Below are 14,560 nucleotides of genomic sequence, written 5' to 3'. Positions count from 1 at the left end.
ATGACTACTCACCATTACTTCATAGCATGGCGTGGTCATTAATGAACACTCATAGTTTTTCATTATTATAAATAATGCAGCAGTGAACAAAAAAATGCATACATTTTTACATGTGTGTACTTCTGCCAAAGAAATTTCTAGAAGTAGAATTGCTGATTCAAAGAACATATAGATTTTTGTTTTGATGGATACTGCCAAATGTTTTATAATAAGGCCATATAAAGGTAAATAATATAAAAGCACCATACAATATAAGAAACATCATATTAAGTTTATTGCTAAGCTAGACAAAAAAGTAAGGGACTCCAAAGACAAACTAAGAAGGTGAGAGCCATAGATTAAAAGAGCACCCAAACTGATTTTTGCTGTAAAAAAACTCTAGTGACCTTCAAACTCTAGTGATCTTATAACTCTTTTTTTAGAGCTACATGGACCACAGGTAAAATCCAGGGCCCAACCAAAGTAGGAATCAAATAGAAAATCCCCCACATAAAGCTGGAACCCTCAAAGGCCTAGAGGTTCACTATAAGGGTGAACGAGAGATAAACTCTCAGCTGGAAACTTTCTTCTCTTGACTCTTATACTTCTTATACTTGGTAGAAGGCAAAACAAATTACCTTGAGAATTTGTAAGAAGTTCTTCCTCATATAGGTTTGGGTCCCAGGTTCACATTACCTGTGCAATCCAAAAAACTGTCAAGTGGATTATTTAATTTACTACAGTCTAGGATAACGAGTGCCCCAGAGAACTAGCAGAAAGAAATGAAAATCCTCTATGAAAGACTGTAATTTCAAGGCAGATCTCAAAGCATTTCCAAAAATAAAATTTCAAAGACATTAATTTGTGTTCAACATCATTCATCAGAAACATACATGGAGAATAAGCACCATGAGTGAGAGCCAGCAGAAAAAAAACAGACATCAAACTCAGATCGCAAATGCTTCTGAGCATAAAATTTGTATGTTTAATATGTAACAAGAAATAAAACTGAGTCTTAAAACATAAGCAAGAAATATAAAATCTTAATTACAACCAAAGATTTGAAAAATAATGCAGTAGAATGACTAGAAATATAAAACTCAAGGATGACTGAAACAAAAGTATAGACACAGCTGAAAATAGAGCTACTGAACTGGAAGTGATCCAAGAAGCCACTTCCAGAATGCACTCCAGGAAAACTAAGAGATAAAAAAAATAGAAATTAAGAGATACAAAGGATAAAATGATAAGATCTATCTTACATCCAATTGAAATTCCAGAAGAGATAGAAGATTGATAATACTTAGACAAATATTCACAGAGATTATAACTGAGAATTTTCCAGAATTGTTGAAAGACACTAAGTTTCATATTTAGAATGATTAAAGAATCTTAAGCTAGATAAATAAAAAGAAATGAATATCTAGGCACGTTGTTGTGAAACTACAGCACATCGGGCCGGGCACAGTGGCTCACGCCTGTAATCCCAGCACTTTGGGAGGCCGAGGCAGGCAGATCATGAGGTCAGGAGATTGAGACCATCCTGGCTAACACAATGAAACCCTGTCTCTACTAAAAATACAAAAAATTAGCCAGGTGTTGTGGCAGGTGCCTGTAGTCCCAGCTAGTCGGGAGGCTGAGGCGGGAGAATGGCGTGAACCCAGGAGGCAGAGCTTGCAGTGAGCAGAGATCGTGTCACTGCACTCCAGCCTGGGCAACAGAGTGAGACTCCATCTCAAAAAAAAATAAAAAGAAACTACAGCACATCAAAGACAAAGAGAAGATCTTAGAAGCAGCTGGAGAAAAAAAAGCGCTGTTTACTTATAAAGAAAAATAGTTGGACTAATGGATGATAGAACACAGTGGAATAATATTTTTGAGTCAACCTAAAATTCCGTATGCAAACTTGGAATTATATAACCACTGAAACTGACAAGAGTAAGAGTGATAGAACTCTTACTCTGGATATTAGTACATCCAGAATTTACAAAGAACTCAAACAAATCAGCAAGAAAAAAACAATCCCATCAAAAAGTATGCTAAGGACATCAATAGACAATTCTCAAAAGAAGATAAAATAATGGCCAACAAGCATATGGAAAAATGTTCAACATCACTAATTATCAGGGAAATGCAAATCAAAACCACAATATAATACCACCTCACTCCTGCAAGAATGGCCATAATCAAGAAATCAAGAAAGAATAGATGTTGGCATGGACACAGTGAAAGGGGAACACTTTTACACTGTTGGTGGGAATGTAAACTAGCACAACCTCTAGGAAAACAGTGTAGAGATTCCTTAAACAATTAATAGTAGGCCAAGCGCAGTGGCTCACGCTTGTAATCCCAGCACTTTGGGAGTCCGAGGTGGGCAGATCATGAGGTCAAGAGATCAAGACCATCCTGGCCAGCATGGTGAACCCCCCACCCCCGTCTCTACTAAAAATACAAAAATTAGCTGGGCGTGGTGGCACACGCCTGTAGTCCCAGCTACTCAGGAGGCTGAGGCAGGAAAATCGCTTGAACCTGGGAGGCGGAGGTTGCAGTGAGCTGAGATTGCACCACTGCACTCCAGCCTGGGCAAGAGTGAGACTCCGTCTCAAAAAGAAAAAAAGAATTTAAAGTAAATCTACCATTTGATCCAGCAATCGCACTACTAGGTATTCACCAAGAGAAAAAGAAGTCATTATGTGAAAAAGATACTTCCATACACGTTTATAGCGCACAATTTGCAATTGCAAAAAATATGGAAACAGCCTAAAAATCTCATCAATCAACAAGTGGATAAAGAAAATGTGATATATATGTACCATGGAATACTACTCAGCCAGAAATACGAATGAAATAATGGCATTTGCAGCAACCTGGATAGAATTGGAGACTATTATTCTAAGTGATGTAACTTAGGAATGGAAAACCAAACATCATATGTTCTCACTCACATGTGGTCGCTAAGCTGTGAGGACGTAAAGGCATAAGAATGCTACGTTGGACTTTAGGGAATTGGGGGAAAGGGTGGGGGGTGGTGAAGGATAAAAGAGTACATATTGGGTACAGGGTACACTGCTTGGGTGATGGGTGCACGAAAATCTCAGAAATCACCACTAAAGAACTTATTGATGTAACCAAACACCACCTGTTCCCAAAAACCTATGGAAAGAAAAAAATTTAAAACAAAAAAACCTTTCATCCCCAACAGCCAAATGTAATGGAGGGACCTTGTTTGAATTCTGACTACTACCCCCATAAAAATTAAACTTTTATTAAAAAACAAATAATAAATGATACAAAGAAAATGTTAATTTTGTTAGGTGCAAATAATGGCATTGCAGACATAAGAAAGTTAATATTTTTAAAAGGTGCATACTGAAGTATGTAAAGATGAACTGGCATGAGAAATGGGATTTGCTTTAAAATATTTCAGCAAAAAAAATGAAGGGATAGAAACAAGTATTGCAAAATTGTGATACTTGTTAAATCTGGGTGACCAGAATATGAAGGTTTATTCTATCACTCTATTTTTGTGTGTGTTTGAAATTTTTCATAGTAATTTTCTTTAATTCCAACCCCACTTCTCTTCCAAGAAGCGTCTCAGTTGCCATTTAATCAGATGTCAATAGATTCCCAGACAAGGCTTGCTTACCTAGGTTAAGTTCCATTCATCTCCTTGTCTAGCCTAGCCAAGACCCAACACAAAAAAATAACATTTAAACAAACACACTGCTCCCTAAATCTTTGCTTACCTTATTATGATAAGTTTACTGAGGAGTAATTCATGAGGTACATTGATTGTTTTTCAGAAAGGTAAAACCAGGTGCATTCCATCCAGTGACAGACAAGGTGCCATTTTCACCACACCTTTGCCAATGTGGGTTTGTCATTTCTTTTTATAAAACCTCTTATAGGTGCAGTGCAGAAAGATAAACAGGATTCAACTTGTCCCAACCAAGGGGAAAGGATGTCCAAGACAGCAGAACAGCCTCAGCAAGGCACAGAGGTGGGAAAATGTGTGATTTATTTAGTTCTATGTGACCAATTCATTCATTTAATACATATTTGCCCAGAGCCTCTATAATTAAAATAATTTAGTGAGATTAGCAGTTAAAGATGTGTTAGTAGCTAATTGAGCCTTTCTTCCTGATAAAGTAAGAAGAAATGAAGGGGAATTGCTTTTTTTTAAAAAAAAGGTAACATGAAAGGAGGCATGAAAATGATTCTTCTGCAGACTTTCTGGACTATCTGCAATCTTGTGGAGGCCAGCCTCCATCTTCTCCCCTACTTCCAGGCCTTCAACACTGCACTCTGATTACCAAAACTTTAGAACTATATCGAGACCGATGACATCCAACACGTTCCTTTTATCTTGTTACCCTTTCAAAAAGTGTCATGGTTTAAAGCCCTTAGTGCAGCAGCAGATTCTCTAACAGGAATTAATAAGCTCTTCTAGAAGAATTAAAAAAGCAAGCTCCCTTTTAATAGAGGCAGAGAAGGACGCATTCACTTTCCAGTTGGGCTGAATTTCCAAAAACTTCAATAATTAGATCCCATTCTCCACAAGTCATCATGTTTATCATGGGGAGAGTAATGCCTGTTCCAGGTTAATTGGACAGAAACGATGTTCCTCTTCTGTAGTCACTGTAGTCAAATTATCCCTGCATTGCAAAGCCTTATTGCTCTGTGTTAGGTTTAAAGCCGGATTTCTCAACTCTAACTGCTTTGCTGTGTTTAATACTCGGGTTGCTCCGATTTGCTCGTCTGCGGGCGTACTTGAACATGAAGGATTGGGAAGGAGGAACAGCAAGCAATCACCGAGGCCAGGAGCCCGAGCCAGGGCGGGAAGGGGTTTTCCCACAGCAACATCGCACTAGGAGGCTTTCTAGAGGGCGGTTTGAAATCCACGGACCTCGTGGGGAGCTGAAGCAGGACCTCCGCGCGCAGGAGCAGGTTTCCGGGCACTACACACCCAGGCTCATGGTAGGCGCCCGCAGCCCAGGACGCTGAAACTCCAGCCCCACGCCGCGAGCTGACCTTCCTGGGCGACGCCAGCTGGGTGCTTGGGGCAGGCACAACGGAAAACAACTTAAAATCAGAATTCTGGATTCTGGGATTTGAGCTATCAAAGTCATTTTCAAGAAATTCATATTCTTCCTAGAGAGGGGAAAATGCAGTAATACCCCCTTAAAAGCCAGAGTCTTCAAAAATGTTGCTTTTTCAATGTTGCTTTTCAAAAAAATAACCCCTGCTTTGCTTATTCCACACGTGTGTTGATACAGACGGATAAATATATAACAATGGATACTTGATTCACATGTAAGTGCGCTATCACACATAATCTCTCATCGTTTCGGATTATTACAATCTCTCATCCTTTGAGGAAGATAAAAGGTAAATTTCCAAAGGAGTTTTAAATAGGCAAATGGGCTATACGGCGTTATAGTAATATATTGTAATATAGGGCATGTATAATACTATGTAATACACAGACAAATGTATGCATAAGGACAGAGATACAGTGCCCTCTACTGGATCAAAGTGAACTTGATGAACCTTGCCTTTGAAAGAGTTAGTTTAACAGCCCTTCAAGAGGCTATCAACACCAGAATATAAGCCTTAAAGCTAGATGATTCTTCACATCAGGTGATTCTTCTTTGGTTTGCACTAGCAGCAAGCAAAACGCTCTTACGTTGTTTTCCAATCATCCATGTTTAACAGGATTATTCAAACTGACTCCACAAATATTCTATCAGTAAAGGGACATTTGACTGATGAATTTGTTGGAGCCATCTAAGCAATCCAGACTCCGCAGTTCCCAAACTGAAAACAAACTTTCTGCATTGTGTGCTATCTGAGCGAATCAGATGTAATTTTAAAAAACAGACAGACAGGAGTTCAAGCATAGTATCCATGCTCAAAAAGTTGAGCAATTCAAGACATTAGGCAAATTGAGAAGTATTGTTTTAAAAGCAGCATGACAGCGATGACTTAAATAATACAGAAATTATCATCCTGAATAATTTGTTCTTAAGTAATACAAAAACTCCATACGAAATACACATATGCTCCTAAATAAGCTGGTAAACAAAGCTCTATGTGGATTCCCAAAATTTTGGAATAGGGATTCTGTGGTATAGAAAATGATGATTTTAAATGATAGGAAAAGGCAATTTAAAAATATTAATAGTTTCTAAAACTCCACCCACTTCAGTGTAATGGGTATGTGCCACTGAGGGACAGCTGGACACCTGGAAAATGGCTACCATTGCACTGTAAGAGTCCTCTCCGCGTAGCACTAAAAATGTCAGTGTTTCATTTTACTAAGGAGACTTTGCCTTTCCCTTGTGTTGATCTGCATCTCATCTCCTGGCCACTAAGTACAAAGACCCACTATGTTAACCTTCCACACATTTTCAGAAACCGGACAGAGCTTATTATAGAAGTGCCGACACAGCCAAAGTAAGCCAGTTGGGAAATCAGATGCCTGTCTCCTTGATGCAGGAAATTCAAAGAGAAGATGTCAGGTTGATCGCAATCTCATCCCAACCTCTGCTGCAAAGAAGCATGGAAGAGGAATTTTCTAGAGCCTCTCAGCCATCCCTATAATTAGCATGGAAATTTGTGAATCATTCCTGGCAGAAGAAACATGGCTGGAGGTGAGGCCCACCCCCTCTGTCCGGGTTTCCCAGGGGAGGCTCAGGTAGTAATATGGTACATTTTCGCTCTACAGCTCAACCATTGTGTGAAAATGTTGACTCTCCCACGGAGCTCACTCCTGTCCAAGGTAGAATACAGTGAGGAAAGGCCACCAAGCCCTCCCTGGGCAGCGGTTCTCACAGCGTAGTAAATACGGGGGCCCCCTATGAGCTGTGGAAAATCTGGAGTCCACACCTGCTCCTGAAATTCTGGTTCAGCGGGTCTGGGAAAGAGCCCAAGAATCTGCATTTTAACAAGCCGCTAGCATCATCTGGTGCAGATGATCCATGGACCACACTTTAGAAACTGCCTGAAGAAGTGAAGAAGCATATTTGGCCAAATACTCTGACATCTTAAGACCTTCTCTTTATGAGCATCCATCTTCTAATGAGATCCTCATGGAATAAAAACTCCTTTGTACTGATTTCTGTCCTTGCCTAAATAGTATTATAATGAACGTAGCTATAACTTTGAAATTCAACCAGATGACAGGATACAGGACCTTCTGCCAGTGCAGACACCCCCAGGACACTTTGTGATCCCAGGCTAGCCCCTGCCATGCTTTTTATTTTCTCCATTGCTCTAGGATTGGATTTTCTGCTCCTGTCTTAAACGGACCTTCATTGATTCTTTGTGGCCAGACTCTTCTCCCTGCAGCACTGCAGAATATGCAGTCTCATTGCTTTCCCACACCTAGCCTGTCTCAAGAAGTGCACAAGACATTTGAGGGTTTCCTTGAAGCTTTATTATAAACAATGAGGAAGAGACAAGAGGAAAATAAATATGAACAGATAATTAAAGAGAAATATCACAGTCTTATGCAAAAGTTACTCCCAAATTCCAGTTTCCCTTTTAGCAGCTATGGACTCTATAGTAATAATGCCTATTTTATTGATTCTCTCCATGTTTATTTTCTTCCTTCTTTCCTTCCTTTCTTTTTCTTCCCTCTCTTTCTCCCTCACACAGACTTGCACTGGGCATAACACATAGTGGGCCTGATGGTAGAATCCACAAACAGTCAGCAGTGAGTTAAAGTTCTACAAAGCACCAAAGAATGGAGGCTTCCAGGTGAGATTTCACTAAGAGCTAGTATTAGAAGAGTCTGGGAGAAGAGTAGATTGAGCACATTGTGGGGAAAATGAATTCCCAACAGCAGAGAGAACCGCCACATACAAACCACGAGAAATCAAACATGTCACATTCTGGGAACCCAGTAGTTCAGCAGAGTTGGAACACAGAGTGCATTGGAAAATGCTGGAAATTACACTGGAATGGTAGGTCGGGTCAGCTCCTGAAGGGCCACATGGACTCCAGTAATGAGTGGGGATTTAGACGATAAACCATATGACTTTTCATAGCCTACACAGTTGGCACTTTTATAAATCTAATAATTTAAGGTCCATGCAAATGAGGGAGGAGGCAGGGTTAGTAATAACCATTACAGGATAGGAGGCATAAACCTGGGCTGTCTTGGGAGAAAGCAGATGACCACTCTATCCATAGGGTGTTGAGGCTTGGGTGATGAGGTTCCTTGATTCATATCTTCCTCCTCTTGGCGAGAAAGTCTTCATGTTAAGGATTTCATCCACTTTGGCAGCTAAATACCATCGGGAAAAATACTTCAGGGCAAAACCCTGAAGCGCTGTCTTCGAGTTCTTTTTTTCTTCACAAGGAAAGGCTCTCCTAGGCATTTTCTTGATTTAAAAGATAATAGCTTCTTGAATAGAAGGTTGGAATCTTTCAATATATGATTGATGATACTGACCGCTATGTGACTTCCTTAATCCATACTTTTAAAATTCTTCTATAGTGAACGAGAGCTTGAGTCCCTACATGATTTTAAAGATGCAAGGTATGTGACTTCTTAAATATGAAGAATGCCTTATGTGTTTTGAAAATTGGCTGCATTTTATATTAAAACAGAGTTCTTCAATAGTCTGCATTATCTTGGGAATCTAATAGTACTCACCTATTGCTATCAATATCATCATGACAGTCTGACTCCTAAATTAATTTAAGGAGCCAGTAAGAGGGATGGGTCAGTTCTCGGATCTGCTTCCCTTGGCTGGTGGGGCTGCAGAGGCTGTCTGCATCCTTCTTGGGCTGGAAGGGTGCGTATGACCTTCCAGCTGCCACATGGGCTCAGTCATTTTTCTGCTCATGAACAACAAGAAAAAAAAATCACAAATTAAACAAGTGTTTGGTATCGCTCCAGGGTTTAGAATGAAATATCTTTTTCCAAGGACTAAAGAGTCTCAGTGGCAGACATATTGTGATGTTATTTCCCTTTCAAAGCTCTTAATCCTTTTTTCCCAGTGAGGCAGATGTGTACTAAATGAACATTAGTTGGGTCCCACTCAGGGCCAGGTCAAGGAGGAGTTCAGCTCTGGTAATGAGAAAATACGACCTCTTCTGGATTTCTCTACAAAGGTCACGTTGTCCTGCTCTGACAAATCATTTTCATGTGGCCAATTATAAGAGGTGCTCTAGAACCATGATTCACAAACTTGAGATTGTATTAGTTTGTGTTCACTAGGCCTGTGGGGGGACCTGAGATTCAGAATTTCTCAAACTCCTGACCTCAGGCAATCCACCAGCCTCGGCCTCCCAAAGTGCTGGGATTACAGGCATGAGCCACCGCACTCAGCCATCAGATTCAATATTTCTAACAAGCTTCTGGATGATGCCAATGCCACAGATCCACAGACCACACTTTGAGTCCCAAGTGTCTCGAATATATTCAGAAACAAAAACATCAGTGTTTCTGAGATTTTTCAGTGGTAATAGAGACATCAATCCAGAAAGATGAAGATGTTGAATCGGTCCAGAATATCTGAGATGAGTGGTTCTTTCTCTGCATGCAGTGTCTCTTAGAACCAGATGCAGTTTACGAATCATCACAATTTCTTACACAATTGTTTGGGCAAACCTTACTTTGGATCCTCAGGTAACACAGGGGCTTGATCTCTGGTGTTACTGTTGCTCATATTCTGTATGCCTTTCCCATTCCATGGTGCCCATTCTCCTTTCCCTTTCCCATCCCTCCCCTCAAGCTGACTTCCCGCCTTTATCCACATCAAATGCTTCTCAATCTTGTTCCTCAATTCCCTTGCCCCTAAAAAAATTATTTCAGGGGAAAACTCTGACCAATTAATCTTCATGTGCACAATCACAGCTTAATGAGGTGTCAGCCTAAGCTAAAAGGATGGCTGTCTAGAGGCAGAATTCCAAATACCAGCCAGGGGCAGGAAAATAACATGCAGAAGCATTAAGGTCTTTCCAGCAGTGGCCTGGATCCATCCCAGTGTACTTGAGTCTACATCCAGACCCCCCTATGGCCTTGGTTTTCTCAGCCCCACCCCAGACAGAGCCTCTGTCCCCAGAGTGGTCCTAGACCCTGACTTAGGGCCACCATGGCCTACACAGGCCCCGGCCAACACCTCAGAATTGGTTTTATGCAGGCATCTGATGCCCTGTTGGGTATTGCATTCCTGTTATTTAATTCAAATTATCTAAATGGGAATTTCTAATCTCAAATTTATTTATTCATATTTACAGAGGCAATGGAGCCAGAAAACCCCCTAAGGGAAATCTTCTAACCGCTATAGAACATCAGACTCTGCTACAGCCGAAGGCAGGAGAGCCCTCTATGTATTCCTCATTGTCAGGTGCATTACTTCTGTCAAATGTCGGCAAGTGAGGAGAGGCAGAATAGATGGCAGACCTCAGTTTCCTCACCTCTCTCCTCTGTGTCCTCAAGAGCACCCCTACCTACTAGCTCAACAGAAAAATACAATGGTTCTTGCATCACCTCGGATGGATTTCTGGGGTTCAACCTCTGGGCCTGGGTCACTGGGGCCACGCTAGGAAAAGCCATTGCTATAGGTTGCTCCATCTGTCCACCATGTCATTTATGAGGTAAAGAAAATATTGAATTGAGATACCAGGACTATGAATCCAGATGCCCAGCCGGTGGAAAGACCAGTAATGAGAAAACAGAGCTGACTTCTTCCAGCAAAGCTAGGAAGTGGCAGGGGAATGTAAGAAACAGCTGCTCAATTTTGGCAGCTGCAGTGAAGGGCAATGTTATGGAATGTCAAAAAGTGGCATATTTCATTGCAGCTCCTCCACTGGCCTTTAATGATTCAGGAGCAGAGCCATCTTTAACGACACTTGGCTTGTTCTCTGGTTTAAAGGCAAATAAAATGTCCTCATTTCATCAGCCTTTCCAGAGAAGGAAAATTTGAAAAACTGGAGAGAAAAGGATCATGGTCTAAATCTGTCCTTCTCATGCACCACTTGTATATTGGTTTGTTACCTGGGAGGACCACGGACAAGATCCTCTCCTCCACCTTTGCCCGTGAAATGATTTTCTACTTTGCTTTGAGAACCTCCACTGAGATATTTTCAGATCCCATTTCTACCTTGGTATCTAAATACTCTAATTAATGTGGATCATAATTTGAGGATATTATAGTAAGTCAAAACTGAGAGAATTTTTACAACCAGTAACTCCATCTAGGAACTTGTTAATTCAACCATGAACAAACTTCATCATCATCAGTTATGGCATATTCACTTAAATGAGCTCTGTCCTTAAAAGTGTCGTCACTACAAAAGTCATTAAATGCAGGGTATGAAAATGTTTTCTCATAGTACAGTTCTGTATACATAGCACGACTAAAGAGGAGGATGTGATGATTATTGTATTTGATCAAACTCAAAGTAAATCAACTAATATTGTTAAATAAGTCAACCTAAACCTTGCAACTTATAACTTTTACTGAAGGTTTGCCAGACCTAGGTTCAACAGAAGAATCTCAAAGTTTCTTTAATTGACAGCATTTCTGTTATTACAACACTGTATATCGTGTGTCACAAAAAACAGATTATATTATACAAAATCCATAATTTTCACTCAAGATGCTGAGATTTTGAGGCACTTGGCTTGTCAATATCAATTCTGAAGTGCATCACATATACTTTATCATATTTGACTAATAAAGTACTTGAGTTTTTAAATAATTTGCCTTTTATTTTGGCCACATGTGTGTTAAAGCAAATTCAAGATTACTCCTAATATGGCATCACTGTTTTTCACAGTCCTTCTGAATTGTTGTCTTCAGAGAGAGAGAAGGAGAGGAAGGTGATCATGGAGAAATGACTATTGAGTCAATACCGTGCACAATCAATGAGAAACAACCATTGTAAATACCATCAATTGCGTTTAAATGGGCTCCTGTGACTACCCATTTCATTCATGAGGGGATCTCCCACAGTGTTCCCAGCCGGTATATTCCAAAAGCAAGCCAGATGTGGAGCTGTTCTTACAGCCCACCCACTCTGAGGAAAAGTTAGACACGGGCCATGAAAGCCACCTACCCCAGCTGAGCAGATAAAATGGTGAGACACCCACCAGGAAGTTGGACAGTGATCCACATAATTGCTGGCCGAAACTACACAATCTTCCCAAATTAACCAACGTGGATTTTAACTGTAAGAATACAAACACAAAATGAAATATTTGAGCAAGCTAAACAATTGGTTCTCACCAAAATGAAATTAAAGCCAAAAAGGGCAGAACTTATGACGTATTCCACTTTGAATCCTCAGTGAGATTTGACAAGTTTGGGAAGACAAAACCGGATAAGCAAAGGAACAATATGAGAACAAGAAAGAACTCTCAGGAATAAAAAATAAAATAAAAAACAGATGGTAGGATTTTTCCAGCTAGAAAAATTCATAAGAGTTAGCTGGAAAACTTTTAAAAACCATACATTTTGGTAAGTTGTTGAGTTAAGAGATAATTTTAGAGTTCTTTAATCTTCCTGAATCCTCCATAAAAACAAAAAATAGGATCACAAAACCAAAAATCCACAGATAACATCTACAACAAAATGAGAGGAGATGACATTCCCAAGAACCTCAAACAGGAACAGGTGGGGACAAATACAGACGGCCATGACATCCATGTGGTATTAGCAGCCCTGCAGAAGCAAGCAGAGGGAGACAATATGGTGTCTGTCAGCCTTGAGAACAGAAGAGCCTCACAATCGCCAAGAACTTTACATTCAGGCGAACTGACCTTCAAACAGGAAGTCTGCAGAGAAGTAGCATGGATTTGCAAGAACTCAGAGAATATGTTTCCATGAGCCCTTCTTGGAACTCCACAGGAGACCAAGCTACAACCAACCAAAATGACTAGAGAGACCTTGATAATAGGATTGGAAGGAATACAGGTAACAGAAGAACATGTTAAATGACACCACAGGATTCAAATAGAAAAAACAGAATATGGGGAACTCCAGAGAAAAAAAGACCTGAATTCTTCAACAATAACAACAAGCAAAAAAAGGGAGGATAAGCCTATAGGTAAAAAAACATGTATGAGACATCCAATAATTACAATGCATGGAATTTATTTATATTCTTATTTAAAGGAACTGCTAAAAAATAATTTAAAGATATTTGGGAAATGTGAACCCTGGATATTTAATGAAATAAAGGGACTGTTGTTAGTATTACTTAAGTGTTAGAGTGGTACTGTAGTTATGCTTTTTAAGAAAGAGTCTACATCTTTTAGAAATTTATACTGAAATATGATATTTAGTCATTGCTTCAAAATAACCTGAAGTTTGTGGGAGACATGCACAGGGTATAGATGATGTGGGATTGGCTTCAGGGTGATGGGTGCTGGGCTGGGTGGTCGGAGCATGGGTATTTATCATATCTTCCCTTAGTTCAGTGTATGTTTGGAATTTTCTATAATAAAAGCTAAAACAAAACAAAAATAGACAAATTTATAAAAATCAGTAGCAAACTTTATTCCAGAAAGAATCAATTAGGTATAATGAGAGAAAAAGAGGCAAAAAAAATACATAAAATACCTAGAAATTAACTTTAAAAATGTAAAAGATGTAAAAAAAAAAAAAAAAAAAAAAAAGGAAATCACAAAACTTGACAGAGAAATATAGAAGAGCTTAATCAACAAAGAGACAGCATTTGATGCTCCATATGGGAAGCCAATATTTGAAGATATTTATCCACAAGTTTATATATCTATTTAGTGCGATGTCAATCAACATTTTAACGTGTTTTTGAACTTATTAGTTATAAAGTTCACCCATAAAGTAAAAGATAAGACAATAATGAAGAAATGTTTGAAAAGAATTAAGAAAGGGTATTTGCCTTACCAGTTAACAAAATACACTAAAATACTGGCGAAATTAAAACAGTACAATACTGTTCTGGCCCAGACAAATCAATCAATAGAACATAATAGAGACTTTTGGAAACAGCCATGGGTGTTTATAAGAATTTATTATAGGGTAAAATGGCATTTCAAATCAATGGGGAAAAGATGGATTATCCAAGAAGCACTGCCGGGACAACTGGATCCCTATTTTAAAAAGAATGAATGTTTGATTCAAACTTTGTGAAAACAGCTGCCAGACTGATCAAATACATAAATGTAAAAATTGAAACTATCAAAATATAAGAAATATGAGAAATTATTTTTTATCATTTAAAAAGTAGAAAGCATTCTTATCAAGATATTCTACAGCTATAGAGAGGGATAAAGATCACAGTGTTCTGAAATGGAAAGAACTCCAAAATATACTATTAAATGAAAAACACCAAGGTACAGAATGTGTGTATAATCTTCTACCTTTTGTGTATATAAAAGGAGGAAAAATAGACATCTATTTTTATATCTGTGTCTGTACACAAAAGTAAACTCTGGAAAGTGTATAAGCCACTAACAATAGTGGTACCTGTCACCATTGATTGAGGGGGCACTGGATGGATGGGCACAGGGGTAGGAATGAGATTTTCCATTCCAAAACTCTTGTGTTCTTTTTTCAATTTTTGAATTATGCGAATGTAC

This window comes from Homo sapiens, chromosome 6, assembly GCF_000001405.40.
Source record: "Homo sapiens chromosome 6, GRCh38.p14 Primary Assembly".
NCBI lineage: Eukaryota > Metazoa > Chordata > Mammalia > Primates > Hominidae > Homo > Homo sapiens.
The sequence above is the reverse complement of the archived record's forward strand: the minus strand, read 5'-3'. Positions refer to the sequence as shown.